This window comes from Homo sapiens, chromosome 7, assembly GCF_000001405.40.
Source record: "Homo sapiens chromosome 7, GRCh38.p14 Primary Assembly".
Taxonomy (NCBI): Eukaryota; Metazoa; Chordata; class Mammalia; order Primates; family Hominidae; genus Homo; species Homo sapiens.
In genome coordinates, this window is record NC_000007.14 from 26,585,248 (window position 1) to 26,600,347 (window position 15,100).

At 43.9% G+C, this 15,100-nt stretch overlaps 1 long non-coding RNA gene across 1 annotated transcript in view; it reads right to left on the reverse strand.

Moving 5' to 3' along the window:
• Positions 1-322: 322 nt before the first annotated feature.
• Positions 323-15,100, reverse strand: part of LOC101928077 (uncharacterized) — a 37,861-nt gene continuing 23,083 nt past the window's right edge. Inside the window, exons 4-6 of the long non-coding RNA XR_007060264.1 lie at positions 14,075-14,123; positions 12,957-13,821; positions 323-694 (exon numbers count right to left, since the gene is read on the reverse strand). This is a non-coding gene — a long non-coding RNA (uncharacterized LOC101928077). The remainder of the gene's footprint in view (positions 695-12,956; positions 13,822-14,074; positions 14,124-15,100) is intronic.

Here is a 15,100-nt window from a genome sequence, read left to right on the forward strand (position 1 = left end):
AACTGAATAAAAAGGACCCAGAGAAGGAAGATGAGACTGAAATCTCTGTGTACACATCATTAATCAGACAAGATGAATTCTCAAACTTGGAAGTGCCTCTCCTCAAAGCCAACTGAGAGAAGGAGCAGGAGGGAGAGAATGTGTCAGGTTGATTGCAATCTGCAATGTACAACTTTCCATAAAAATTAATCTCCAACAAACAAAAGCGTTTGTTCCTCTCATTTGCATGCTGTGTGGTTCACTCCTCGTGTGTGTGTGTGTGTGTGTGTGTGTGTTTTAAGAACCAAGCCGGTCATCTGTTGAAAACTTTTACTCCAGCAGATGACGCAGTTATTCTTTTATTGCTTTAAGTAAAAGGGCTTAAAAGAGCCCATTACTTTCTCACACACCAGCGCAGCTTCCTTAGTCCTCCCCCACAGATGGGTGAATGCGGAGCATGTCCGTGGTGCCCCTGAAGCCCCGCATCATAAGTGGGACTGAGGGTTCAAATCTCTGTCCTCACGTTGTATCCCAGTGAAATTCTACCACATACAGGGAAGGAGGTGGATTTATTCTAAATTAATTCACTGAAAGTCTGTAATGATACAGAGTAGGTTTCAAAATGGCCTTCTTCCAAAACACCCATGCATGAGGTACGCCTGATCCTCTGTCTGGAAGTCCTGAGTCTCTCAGTCCTCTGAGTTGCCTTGTTTCCCTGTAATAGAAAAGCATCATTAAAATATACTGTTAGAATTTAAATTGCTTGGCATCTCACAGCCTGTTCCATTGAGTATTATTATTTTATAAAAGTGGCTTTGTTTTGTTTTATTAGTTTAATGGAGAGAGGAGTTTGAGAAATAATCCTTGAGGCTTTTAGAGGGAAGATGGAAAGGACACCTTTCAATCAATGCCCGAGTTAACAATTACTTAACTATATTTGTCCCTCGAAATTCTGTGATCCCAGGAATAGACCAAGATAGAGATGAATGAAAGGAAAACAGTAAGAAGTGGCGTGACAGCTAAGAAGGGCAACTGCCCCATCCAATAGCCCAGTAGTTCCTGCCCCTCAAGAACTGCGGGTGTTAGGGAGAAGCCTGTTGTTTTGAATTACTTCACATTGCTCCATTCCTAAGGGGCCTCTTAGTTACCCATCCCCACATCACCAGATCATTCCAAATAATTGGGTGGGAAGCAATCTAACAATCTCAACCCATCTGTGGATCAGGTAACTGTTTACTATGACTTGATAGTTTTTAAACGTTGGTTTGACAGCATATGCACATCACTAAACAGTGTAGAGTTCTGGGGGGAGGAGGTGTGTATTTGGATTCCACATCAGATATTCTTATGTTGAGCTGCCTCATGATCCCGCAAAAAGGAGCCATGCGTTCCCTGGCCGCTGAAGCTGAAAGGGCTCTCCAAACCCACATTCCAGTTGAACTTGCTTCCTGTCCTGCATTTCTCTCTTACTGAACTTTCCATGGTTGCTTATGTCCTCTGGCATTGGTTATCTGTGAGCAGCTCCATGTTTGGTAGTTCATATAGTAGACTTCCTAGGCCCTGCAAAGCTTGTAACATGACTGTAGAACCACAGCACTTGTCCCAGCCTTGTGTGGCATGCTTACAGCAGAGACGCAATGTTAAGTTTCAGTAAGATCACCCAGCCCCACCTCTGCTCCTAAATGTCTTGGAGAAGAACCAGGTATACGATGTGCAGCTTCCAAAGTAGTCTCAGGGCCTCTTGTTGGAGAGACAGACGTAGGTTGTTGGTCTTACTCCTTATTGATCAATAGTATGCGATGTTGGCTCTTCTTCCACAAAGAAATCTCAGAGTTCATTAGCAAGACTGCCTGTTTTTAAGTTGAGTTGAGACTCCCCACTGGGGTCCCCTTGGCAATTCTAGGAAGTGTCCATTTGGCCCCTTTCAGTGATTCCATAGTGTCTATGGGTTCCCATTTCTCCTGGATTTCTTTGTGACCCCTTCCAGAAAATCCTATTCTAATTAGAAACAATACTTCTGATCACGTACTGGGTCCTTCTGCAGATCACTGACAACTGTACCAAGGCGTAATCACAGTAGTAATAATAATCACTACAGTTACTTAGAATTTTCTATATGCAGGTAACACACACTGAGGCCCAGACAGGCTCATGAGCTTGTCCCAGGCGTGCAGTTAATAAGGGTTGGAGTTGGGATTTAAATCCATGTTCTTAAACCCCATGCTGTACTTTCTCTTTAATCCCACTGTCTTCACGATGTTTTATGTTTGCTTAGTGGAAAGAAACTCCTTCTTGTTTCCAGACATAAGAGCAGGCCTGGTAGAGACTCCCATGCACTGGGCGCCCCCTGTTCCCTTCTCTCTCTAGTACGTTTCACTCTGCTTCCTCTGTAGTCTCGATGCCGCTCCTTCCTCCACACTTCCCATCCCACTATACATCTTTTACACAGCAGGGCAGGGTGATTCGCTGCATGCTAGGCAGTAACTACATAGTAATAACAATAACTTGGTACTTAGAGCTCCTCATCCGAGGACGTCACCCGAGCTTAAAGAAATTTAAATATATCTGTTCACAGCAGCGTGGTGGGGATGGTTTTGATCTCATTTTCTCCAGGCCTGAAGAGAGATGTGCACGTTTAAAGGAAGGAAACACCAGCCTTCCTAATGAGGCCCCCTGACCAGAGTGGGGAACTGAGAAAGAGAAGCAAATAGGGGGAGGACCATATAGAGTAATGGTCTCTCATTTCCCTGCAGTTCCTTTGCAGAGTGCATTTGATGCTTGGCAGGCTTGCTGTCTCCAGGAGCCCTCTGGCTTCATGGTATTGAGAAGAAAGGGCTGCCCACCAGCTGAGTCTCTGTTATGTTAGCCACCAGCATCCAAGGATTTGCTCCAGAAACTGTCCTTATGGTGAACACCACTGGGCTCTGGTGGGGAGGAGGGAGGCTGGGTCTGATGGCTTCTCCACATCCCTGTCTCCCTCCTATCTTCAGGGCTCCCCATTCCCTCTCCTCCTGTGGGATGGTTCCCTGTCCCTCCTTTGAGGGTGGATCACCCACAGGCTCCCCCTGGCAACACTCCACATCCAGGGCCTTCTGCACACACAGGCGGGGATGGGGCAGGGGCTCTCTAGTGGAGGGACACAGCTTCCAAACCCTCATTTGCTACTCCTACCTTCCAGCTATCCCTTCCTTGCCAGAGTTGAGCCTCTGGGCTCAGTTCTCACCTACCTGGGCTTGCAGAGCACGCCACCCTCTCCTGATTTAACCTGCCCCTTTGACCAAACCAACCTGGCAACACTGCACCTCCATGTGACACACTGGAGAGATAGATCCACTTCAAGGAATGAACCTAACTGGCTTCCTTAGCTATGGAAATACTCTCAGATCTTGAATTAAGAGTCAATTAGTCCTCTAGTCCTCAGAAACTTGGAAGTGGATCATCTGCTGGGAGCTCACAGCACATGTCTGGTTCCCTGCAGGCCACGCCCCAGAATGACAGCCAGCCCATCTGCTGATGCACCTGCTACATGCAAGTCACTGCCCCAGAGGCTGAAAGGTTTGCAGAGAAGTAGCAGGCTTTGTTCTTACTCTCAAGAAGCATGCAGTCATAAGGGGAGATGAGATGGGAACACACACAAGTCTAATGATATCCTGAGTTTCAGGTGAGCTCCAAATTGTCATTCCAAGTATGTACCTAGCTTTGAGACTGAAAGGTGCTTCCCACCTCAGTCCCAGTCACAGTGAAAAATCCAGAAGAAAGAACAGCCATTCAGTTGAGGTAGATGAGATGCATTTCAACGGTAAAATCACTTGAGCTTTTCCCTCTGACTCAAAGCAAATACATTGTCAAATACACTATAAATATACATTTGCACTATTTATTACCTCTGCCTATAAAAGAAAATTGTATTAGGTGATCATGCTGAAAATGTGTCAAAAATATAATTTGCATCTCTTTTATGTGGGTGTTTTTTTGTGTATTTGCTATATTTCAATTTGCTAATATGCATATATATCTCTGTAGAGACATGTATAAATGCTGTTTAGTTCTTCTGATCTTTGTTTTTATTTGCTTGGTATAAAGATTTCAATATAATTTGTGATTCTAAAAATATTGCTTTTGAAAAATATGGTATAGATCCTTTGTTCCCCTAATTCCCATAATCCAATACAATAAAACATTTATTAAAAGTATATTAAAGAGAATGTCCTGAAGGATTTCCTTCTCTTTGACAAACTCTCACTGGAGGATTATGCAGAATGTTTTCTCTGATGTCCTGAATTTCACAGAATCCATCTCTCTTCAGTTAGGCAAATTTCTCGAAGCTTCTCCATAACCCCTAGATGGTAAGATTCATTTTCCTCTTAGCAATCCTGCAAACTACGGGGAACTGAGATTTTGATTATCAGCCCTCATGCTTTACTCTGTGGATGTCATAGATTTCGAGAGGAGGTATATTCTTTTGCATTATTTTTATTTATAGCATCTAACAGTATCTTTGTTTAATAAAAAGACTTGCAATTATGTCTTGATGGTTGCTTTCAACCACCTTAGGAAGCAAGTCAACATCCCCCCAGTTAGTGAAGAAGGAATAAAGCCAAAGAGGAGATTATGTCACTTTAGGGTCACACAGAAAATCAGTAGAAGATTAAAACTCAAGTCTCTCAAGTCTCAAGTATTCTGCTTTGCTGTTAGAAATGTCATCTTAGTTTCTTTTCCTCATCTACAAGCCACACGCCTATCGTTTTTCCTCAACTAGACAATACCTAGGGCCAAGGGAGGCCACTGTCCTTTCTATCCTATTTTGAACTCTAGAAAGAAATTTCCTTTTAGGTTTCCCCTGGGAACTTGGTCTCACAGTGTGGTCAGGGAGAGAGAAACTGCTAGAAACTGTATTGTGTGACCTCCCCTGCCAAAAAATGTGTACGTTGAAGCCCTAACCCCCATTGTGACTGTATTTCAAGACTGGGCTTTTAGGAAATAGTTAAATGAATTCATAAGGCTTTGCCCTTAATCCAAGAGAAGTGGTGGCCTTAGAAGAAGAAGAGCAAGATCTCTCTCTCCACACAAACACTGACTGAGGAAAGGTCCTGTGAGAACAAAACGAGAAGGTGGCCTTCTGCAAGCCAGGAAAAGAGCCCTTGCCAGAAACCAACCCTGTCAGACCTTAATCTGGGACTTCCAGCCTCCAGTACTGTGAGAAAAAAGGTTCCTGTTGCTTAGGCCACCCAGTATATGGCATTTTGTTATGGCAGCCCAAGCAGACTAAGACAGACATCTTAAGCTTTTGCTTTCAATTCATCTCTTGGAGCCCATGTGGCATAGACAGGACCTAGAAGCTGCTCAGAGTCTGGCTGGGGAAAAGCTTACCAGAGCAGGTGCTGTGAGAGGGATGACCTGGCTGCAGAGTGGACCCCTGAGTCAGGGCCAGGTGAGACTAAGTCGGTAGCCAGCGGGGTCAGCAGCAGAAAGAACCAGACTAGGAGTTCCCCAGCCACAGGCTTCAGGAACCATTGCCAACAGAGCAAGTAGCTCCCAGGTGGACATGGGCATCACCCTGGAGGCCAGAGGAGATCAAGGACCTCATGCCCGGGGATCCCCAATCTGCCCTGCACAGAGTGACCTGGTCAGACTTGTTCCTCCCTCTACATATCCAAACACCCTCTGAGGGAAAGAAGAAGTGGCAGAAATGACGTCACTGAGAGATGGAACATTTTTATCAAAGAGAGTTTTGACATCACCTATAGGGACTAGGTCATCTGGACTAAATGTCAACAGGATTAAAAGTGAGTTCATTTTGCCCCCTCTGCAGGTGGGGGCTCAAGAGCAAGGCTAGTTTAGTCACAGGCAAATAAAACAGTAATCTTCTCTCTACCCACACAAGCTGTAATTTAGATTGAATTTGTGAGTTACTACAGAGGAACCTGGGGAGGGCACCTCTTCCCAGGGAGAGGCAGGTTTGGGGCCAGCTACCGCCACATTCTAGAAACTCATTATCTTGGGAGTTTGTAAAGATGATGCCTGCCCATCCACCCTTTATTCTGTCTCCCTCTTGCTTACTATATGTAAGCTGTACTGTGTCATTTAATACAATAGAGGGTGGCATTCACATAATTTTATCTTCCCAACTGTGTTATAAACTCCCCTTGAGCAGAAACATCAAAGGGTGCCAAGTACAGAGCTCCATGTTTGTCAGCCAAGCAGTGATGCTGCCCTGCTTTGGTGGAACTTGAGTGTGTCTGTAGGTTTTGCAGCAAGCTTCAAAATCCTAGCTGAGGACTCCTGGGGTGGGTCCCCACCCTGACATTAGCTATGGCACCTTGAACAAGTCAGTTTCCATTTCAGGACCTCAGTCTCCACATTTGTAAAACAAAAGAGTTGAACTAATGGACCTTTAAGATTCCTGTTCAAGCCTCCTCTTGCATGAGTGTTTGAGATGTCTTGTTCCATCTTTTATCTCCCCAGTGGGCCATTTGGAGACCTGCAGCATAGTCATGACTGTGGCTATAGAGGTTGTCCTATATTAAGTAACCTAACCTATTCAATTCCCACAACAACACTTTAGAAAAGGTCCTATTATTGCCACCACCATTTTACTGACAAGAAAACTGAGACACAGGGAATAACTTGCCCAAGGAAACAAGGTAATTGTGCTGAAAATGTGTCAAAAACATAATTTGCATCTCTTTTATATAATTTGAAAATATAATTTGCAGCAAGTGTTAGAGCTGGGTTTCAAACTCAGAGACAGGCTCCATAGTCCTGCCTGGGCCACCTCACTGTGCTGCCTTTAGGATTGGAAACCAGTGGCTGATAGGTTGGCTTTGGGGAGGAGAGGGCAGTCCACACATCCTGAGTTTAGGAGTCTGTAGAGGTCCCTACTGCCAGGGCACACTTTCACTCCAAGATATACTTGCCCCTCCCTCTCAAAAGATTGTTTTCTAGCTTGTTCATTTCACAAGCATTTCTTGAATGTCTGCTGTGTGCCAGGCAGCCTTGGGCTTGGACTGGGATCTAAAGTAAGGGCTACTAAAAGGGGTGGGATGAAGGGGCAGGGTGTGGCAGATTCTCTGCAGAAGGTCAGTTTCTGAGATGTTTTTTTTATCACCCTCATTCCAGGAAACCTAATTCTATCATCTCATAGGACCCTCTAGGACATCACCATGGGACTTTTGGCTTAGCCCCAACAGAACCCTGAATAAGCCCTTCTTAGCCTGTGATTTATAATTTTCTGAATCCTTACCTGGCTTATTTGGCTTTTGCTGGGAGGTGGCAGAGAAAAGGAAGAGATGGGAATAATTGGTCCTATCAATAGGTTTGTCTGTAATTCATTTTACTTCCCTGCCATAAGAAAACATGCATTTCTTCTTTTGAGCACAGTGACTTTTTCATGCAAAGTAGTCATTCCTCAGATGACAGATAGGAGCTGAACTGGAGGCAATGTTCTGTATTGAAGAAACAGCAGTGACAGTTGCTTTTCTAAACAAGACTGTGGGCACACATTAGGAGCCTGCTCTCATTCCCACAGAGCTTGACACATTGCAGCAACCAATCCTCGCCAAAGGACAAGTCCCCCTTCTCCTCAGACTGAATGGAGACAGGGCTGGGACCTCCAGGAGACCCCACAGCTGCCAGGTGCCTGCCCAAAGCTTGCAGGTGGCATGGGTGTTTCAGAACCTATTGAGGTTACCCAGGTCAGGGTGGAGAAAACAGGCCCTTCCCATGTAGGTAGTTCACCCTACCTCATCTGGTGGGCCATGCATGTTTGCGGAACAGCAGCCCCTTGTCCTGCAAATGCCGGGGATGAGGATGCGCAGGGGTGAGACACACATTCTCAGCTGCCCCTGTGCCCTACGCTCCAATGCCAGCACAGAGGAGCAGGACATTGAGGCCCCTATCACGCTAAGAACCAGGGGCTGGAAAACTCAGCCCCAGCGGGTAATGCAGACCCCATTTGGAGCTCCCCCGGGGTGTGCCGAGTCCACAACCGAAGAGAACTGGCCAAGAAACAAGGAGGGGTGGCCTCGTCTCAGCTTCAGTCACAACCACGTGTGATGACTTGGGTAAGAAGAGGCCTGAGGCCCACACAGAGGCACTAAATGGTTTCCTCAGAGCAGTGTGGTCCAGATAGACCATCTCTGGTGCCTCAGATGGAAAACAATAGGTGGGTTTGGGGGTCTCCTAAGCAAGAGAGGCTTTGCCCACCAAGCCCTGCCCAGAGCCACCGTCCATTCCCTTTCCCCAGCTCCTTCCTTGGCCTGGCGAGGGAGGTGGTCTGCTGTCCTCTGCAGTGCCCTGGCAGAGCTCCAGTGGGAATGTCAGCCTGGAAGACGTCCCTGGACTGCATGACTTTCTAAGCGGGCTGTGGCGGTGGCCAGGAGCCAGCAGCCCTCTCACTCTCTCTGGAAGGCGGCCGTTTTGTCTGCTGGTGCTGCATCAGGGGCCACCTGAGCCTGCAGCCTGAGGACAAGGCTCCAGGGACACTGCCTCAGGCCACGGTTGACCCTCCAGAGTCAATCACGTCTATGTGTCTCTAGGAGAGGCAAAAATTGTCAGTGGTCTGCAAACCACTCTTTCGTTCTAGATTAGAGCTGCAAGTTGAGAGAGGAAGAAAAAGGAAAAACAAAAACAAACCCCGAAGACACAAGTACTGAATAGTGTCAAAATGAGCTAGGCTCCAAGTCCATTTTTCATATTGTTCCCTATTTTCAATAGCTACTGGGTGCCAGAGGAAAAAAAGGAACAACTTTAAAAAACAATCAGCGGGACATGTGGTGTTCATTCTTGGCTGGAACTATGCAGCCTCATCTGCCGGCAAACACTCTGCAGTCTTTCATGAAAAATGTTTTAGAACTAATGAGCTATATTTGCATTCCCCATAGAATGGATTTGGAATTTTTCATCTATGCTGCACCATGAAAAATGGATGTGTTTGGCGCAGAAGTCATTTGAACGTGAAGCCAGCCTCAGTGGAAAGACAACCTTCAGAAAAACTTTCCAAGTAACTTTTCATTCGCACTTGCTTCCACCAGGGAAGGTTAGGCTCATGTGAAAGATGGAAATTTCCTGCACAAACCTAGATGCTGATGAGATTTGTTTTTGTAGATAATCTGCAGCAGCGAAATTTTTCATAATGTCACTGCAAAATAAATTAAAATGTTCATCTTCATATGGCTGGTTCCATTGCATTAAAATAAATGTTGCAAGCTCATTTAATTAGTATAGTTAGGAATGTCTCTTCCCTGCTTCACTGACTCTCCAAATCACAAGTTAATTTGTCAAAATCAGACCATTGTTTTTCCTTCATTCTTCATTACTAGAGACAGCCCCATTTAAATAAATGTTTATGCTACAGAGAGCAGAGCAGTGAACAACCCCAAATATTTTCATAAGCCAGTGCTGGAAAAGTTTAAGACACAGGGAGCGAGGATGCATTTTTTTCTTCCCTTTGTGGTTATTGGATATGTGACTGGCTAGAAAGGCACACAATCGAGCAGTCTGCTGTAACTGATGATGTTCCGCCCGCCATTGCTCATGTTGGCGGGCTACATCCTCTTGAAAGCAGTTTTCTTCTATGTTTTCAAAGACAAATGATGACAAAAGACAGCATCTCTATAAATTACCCTCCTCAAATCGTTCTCTTCAAGAGCCCTTGGTTAATCAATTAGTTGGTGTTAGGAAGGGGTCTGAACTGGGGTGGAGGGTAGTCCTGGTGTTCACAGTCATTCACTCACCATGACTGGCTGCGAGCAGCTGGGCATTCCTGCTGAAAACTCAAAAGATAACCAAACTTCTTTCCCCCTTGCCTCCTGACCCTCCCAAACCTCCAAGAAAAAAATCAGAACCATGGGGATGGGGTAGCCAGTACTAAAGCAGGAGTTCCTGGCAGTGAAGGTGTTGGGGTTAATGATGAAGACCAGGGAAAAGGGGTTCACAGAATTGGCTGAGGGCTTATGTGTGCAGAGGTCTTCTGGAAGGCGTCCATCAGTAATGGATGAAAGAGCTTATCAGATCATTAGCAGCGCCCCATACTAATGAGATGTTGCATTCCTGCTCAGTAGAGACCCCCTCCATTGGAAAATGCCACAGTGCCTGGCTCTATATTCAGCACCAACCAGCAGAAGGTCAGCTTTCCTCTCTGCAGCTTTGTCCTCTGCCATGATGGAGTGATCCAGCCTCCCTCTTCCATGAGAAGCTAAAAGATAGGATAGCCTTTTTCTTTTTGCTATGTAGTGTTTTCTTGCCCCATTACCTGTTTTTCCCCCCACTGCTGTTCTTGCTTTGCAAGTCTTTTCTACTCTGGAGCAAATGGGTGCGAGGAGAGTGGATGCGCTTCTTCAGATTTCTTGCAATGTGATGAGTGAAAAGGCTTTCAAAGTTGCCCTCACTGTGACTCTGATGAGCTCTGGTGTGTAGAATCAATCTTTCCTCTTTCTATTCTTTTCTTTCTTTTTTCTTTGCCTTTTTAAAATAAATCCTTGGGATAAACTTTACTTCATTAATACATTATTTGATTAACCAGAGGATTTAATGAGTGCATATTCTACAAATGTACTTGACTTTTGGAGGTCAGAACTCCAGTGAGCTGCCCAGGACATAGGCAGGCAGGAAGCAGCAGCACCCCAGGCTCCCCACAACACTTGGGAGTTACTGAAAGCCGTGCTGAGCGTGCCACTGTGCATTCATTCATTCGCTCATTCATTTGATAAGCATTTGTTGGCAGGCATTGAACTAGACCCTGAATGTGGAGAGTCAATCTTCTTTTCTCATATAAACAAAAAATGGAGTTTTCTGAATAGGCCTGGGCCAGTACACCCTGGAGCCTAGTGGCCTGACCCCTGAACCCCAGTGCCTTATCTAATGATGGTACAATTTATTGAAAACATTTGTGTCTCTGGTTGGCTGTGGAGCAGTCTTTGTAAATCAAGGAAACTGGAGAGCAAAGCCAGGTGCATAAAAGACAAGCGAACTGAGCTGGGGGAAGAGCAAGCATTCAGCCTTGGTGAGTCTAAAGGAAATACAGTATTGTCACTTGGAGTCTCTTCTCCTTGGGTCAGCTCAGTCTCCAATGTGTATGTCAGGGAGTACAAGAAGGACTGACATAAGGATTCTCAACATGGAAGAGCAAACCAGGGAGCAGAGAAAAGTTTTCTTAGGGAAAAAACAAAAATCCTGCCCCATAATGTTGGCCTGGTTCTGTGTCCACAGATCAAAAGCCAGGCTGGAAGCATGGAGTCAGATACACAGCTCACAGCACACAGAACAGGCAACTGCAGGCAAACCCAGGCAAGCTCTGGGAGGCGGCTGCCACTTGAGAGGGCAAACCTCGCTTCAAATCCCCAACTCTACTCACCAGCTGTGACCTCGGTCAAATGATGGGCATACGAATAATTATATACATATATATATATATATGTATATATATACAAACATGTGTATATATGACATGGTTCCCATGAAAATGAAATGAGACACTGTATAAAAGTGACCTGGCACATATTGAGTGTTTGACTAACGTTAGTTCTCTTCTGGGGACTTTTGGAAGGGATAAGGCAGCAAAGGGGAGGGTGGGTTAATGGATCAGAGTGAGTGTGGTAAATACAGTGACCATTGACAAAAATCAGTTTCTTAGTGAAATTGATTTTTAATTAAGTCTGGCTGTTAAACTATGTTTGAATGGGACACTGCTCTGAGACTGAGCCACATATGTCTCTGGTTTATATGGGTTACAAAACTCACAGCTTTTTGATCAGGTGTGAACTTAGTGATCATCTGGTGAACACACATTCACAACTTGCAAAAGATTAGATGCCTTCCAAGGTCATGCACCGGTTAGCAGCTGCCTCCTGCCTCCTGCCTCCCTTCAGATGGGTGGAGGCTATAGAACACCTGTGACTAAGAAGGCCCAGGCCCCCAACCACTCCTCACATGGCGAGGTTTCCCAATCACTTACCATCCTTTTCATCCTGCCTTAACCTTCTCCACTGTTACTATGTTCTTTTTAAAACGAGGTGCTCAAAACCAAATAAAATAGCCCAAATACATCTGACTCTGGCAAAACAAAGGGGAACAGTGACCACTTTTGTTTTGGAGAAGTCTATGATTAAAGCAGCCTATTGGCAGCCACCCCATAGTCCCCTGACAGTCACCTGAGATCCCCAGGACTCTTTTTTACAGCTGACTGGATGTCAGCCCCCTTCAGCCTGTAGGTGTGTCATTGGTTATTTATCCTGATGACTGAATCTTATGGTTATCGCCATCAAATTCAGTGAGTTTGGGGCTATCATTTTAGACTGTCAAGACCTTTTTGCATCATAATTCTGTCACCTGGTGGATCAGTTTTACTTCCTAGCTCTGCATCAGGCTGTTATTCTGCCAGCCACACACCTCTTCCTCCAGTCCTCAGGGATAACCTGAGCGACTTTGTCAAAAGGTTTGCTTGAACTCAAGATACTCATTCCTCTCAGCTTCCTGTTCTCACGGGTACCATGGCTCACAGCCACACCAGCTCAAATCCCAATATCTCCTGAGGATTTAAGACCTTGCAAACCTTGAGAGGTCCCCTAGAAGGAAGTGGTCACTAATCGTTATTGAACACTTTCATTATCAGTTGGGAAGAATTATGTTGGGATAAATTATGAAGAAGGCTAGGAAAGGGTCCCTGAGAGAAAAAGAGAGAGAGAGAAAAGATCAAGATAGAAGGAGGTGGTATAAACTTAGTCTGCTTGACACTTTTTTAAAAATTTAACTTTTATTTTAAGTTCAGGGGTAAATGTTCAGGTTTGTTATATAGGTAAACTTGTGTCATGGGGGTTTGTCGTACAGATTATTTCGTCACCTAGGTAGTTAGCTTGGTACCTGTTAGTTATTTTTTTCTGATCCTCTCCCTCCTCCTACTCTCCACCCTCTGATAGGCCCCAGTGTGTGTTGTTCCCCTCTTTGTGTCCATGTGTTCCCATCTTTTAGTGCCCACTTACAAATGAGAACAAGCAGTATTTGGTTTTCTGTTCCTGCATTAGTTTGCTAAGGATAACGGCCTCCAGCTCCATCCACGTTCCTGCAAAGGACATGATATCATCCTTTTTATGGCTGCATAGTACTCTATGGTGTATATGTACCACATTTTCTTTATCTAGTCAACCACTGATGGGCATTTAGGTTGATTCCATGTCTTTGCTACTGTACTTCACAATTTTCTATGCTCTGAAATTAAGCAATATCATGAATGATCATTAAAACATAAGAAAGCATAAGAGAAATTTTTTAAAAATTCAGTTTAGCCAGAAGTGAAAATGCAGTTTGCATTTTTGTCCTTTAGATTAGTTCAGTCTTTGTCATTTAGAATCTAAAGATCGTGTATCTCAGGTATATCTTTGTGATAAGACCAAAATTTTGCTTTTTATCCTTATCTTGAAAATATTATGAGTGTAAAAGTAATACATATGATGAGACTCCATTCATGTAAAATTTAAAACTAGGCAAAACTCCCCTAGGGTGTTAGAAATCAGGATAGCGGTTGCAGTTGGAGAGGATGGTGGAGGAGTGCTTGGGAGAGCACCAAGGGTGGCCGGGGGGCTGGTCACATTGCTGCTTTTGATTTAGGCAGTGCTTACAGAAGTATACTCACTTTGTGAACATTCATTATTTCATACAAGCACGAATTGTACACTTCTCTAGATGTACATGGTAAACAGGAGCCAAACTCCAGTGTTCAGAATGCCTTTTATAGGTCTTTTCTTTTTTTCTTATGGAGGGCAGAGGGCAGAGAAGCATATAATTTAACTAATTCACCAGATTTCTGTTTCTGAGAGCCTTCTAGGTACGAAGCATTGTATTGGGGCTCTGGAGATAAAATGAAGATAAAGCAGACATGAGCCCTGTTGTAAGATTTATCTGTCACTTACAGTCTAGTGATGGATAAACACACATCAAATACAGCTCCACTCCAGAGGACAGTGTCCTGGGGTCCTTATAGGGGTCAGGCAGCTGGGCTCCTTGAAAGACTATCTGAACACATTTCATATATTCAAGAATCACATATATCTTTACATTTGAATTTATATTTAGTGAATGACTTGTAATTTCACTACCTTACCCATAGCAGGAAGAGCTTCTTATACTTTTCTCCCATTTTGTGGAAAACTCTGTAAGAAATTTATACACAATTAATAAAAGATACATGATGGTTATTATTGCAGATAGAAAAATGACATATATTTTATCTCATTTTTAAAGGTCTAACTTTTAAAAATATTCTAAACAGGAGAAATGCCTAGTGAAGTAACTATAAGTCAACTTTTGAACATATAGACAAAAATTTTAAATAAAAAATCTCTCAACCAATGAATGGCTAAGCAAAATGCGGGACAGCTATACAATGGAATATTATTCAACCACAAAAAAGAATGAAGTACTGACACATGCTATGACACGGATGGACATTAGAAACATTATGCTAAATAAAATTAGTCAGCTACAAAAGGCCACATACTGTATGGTTCATTTATATGAAATGTGCAGAATAGGCAAATACATAGAGCTATAAAGTAGATTAGCAGTTGTCGGGGCTGGGGAGGGGAGGTGTGTGAGGTAACTGCTAATGAGTACGAGGTGTCCTTCCTGGGTGACGGAATATGTTCTGGAATTAGATGATGGTGAGGTTGCACAGTTTGTGAATAGACCAAAACCCACTGAATTGCACACTTTAAAATGGTAAATTTTATGATATGTGAATTATATTGCAATAAAACATATATAAGGCAATTTTCGAACATATACATAGAATTTTTTAAATCATAAAATTTTTAAGCTGAGAAATTCTCAATACAAGTTTATGATACATCTCATGAATGGGAACTATAAACACATACACATACACACATAAGATAAAAATAGAGAAATGGGTTTCCGCTTTTGTGAAAATTTAAATCGGGAAGTAAAGCAAACCTTCCACACAGAGCTGTAGAATGATTGGGCCACGACCGCTGGTGCCTGTTTCTCAACTTGCCCTAAACCACGTCTGCATCCATTCTGGACTAGATTACCTGCCTCAGTGAACATTTTATGAACTCCTGCTTTTCTTAACCTGATTGACAACAGACGCATTTTGGTTTACCTCTCT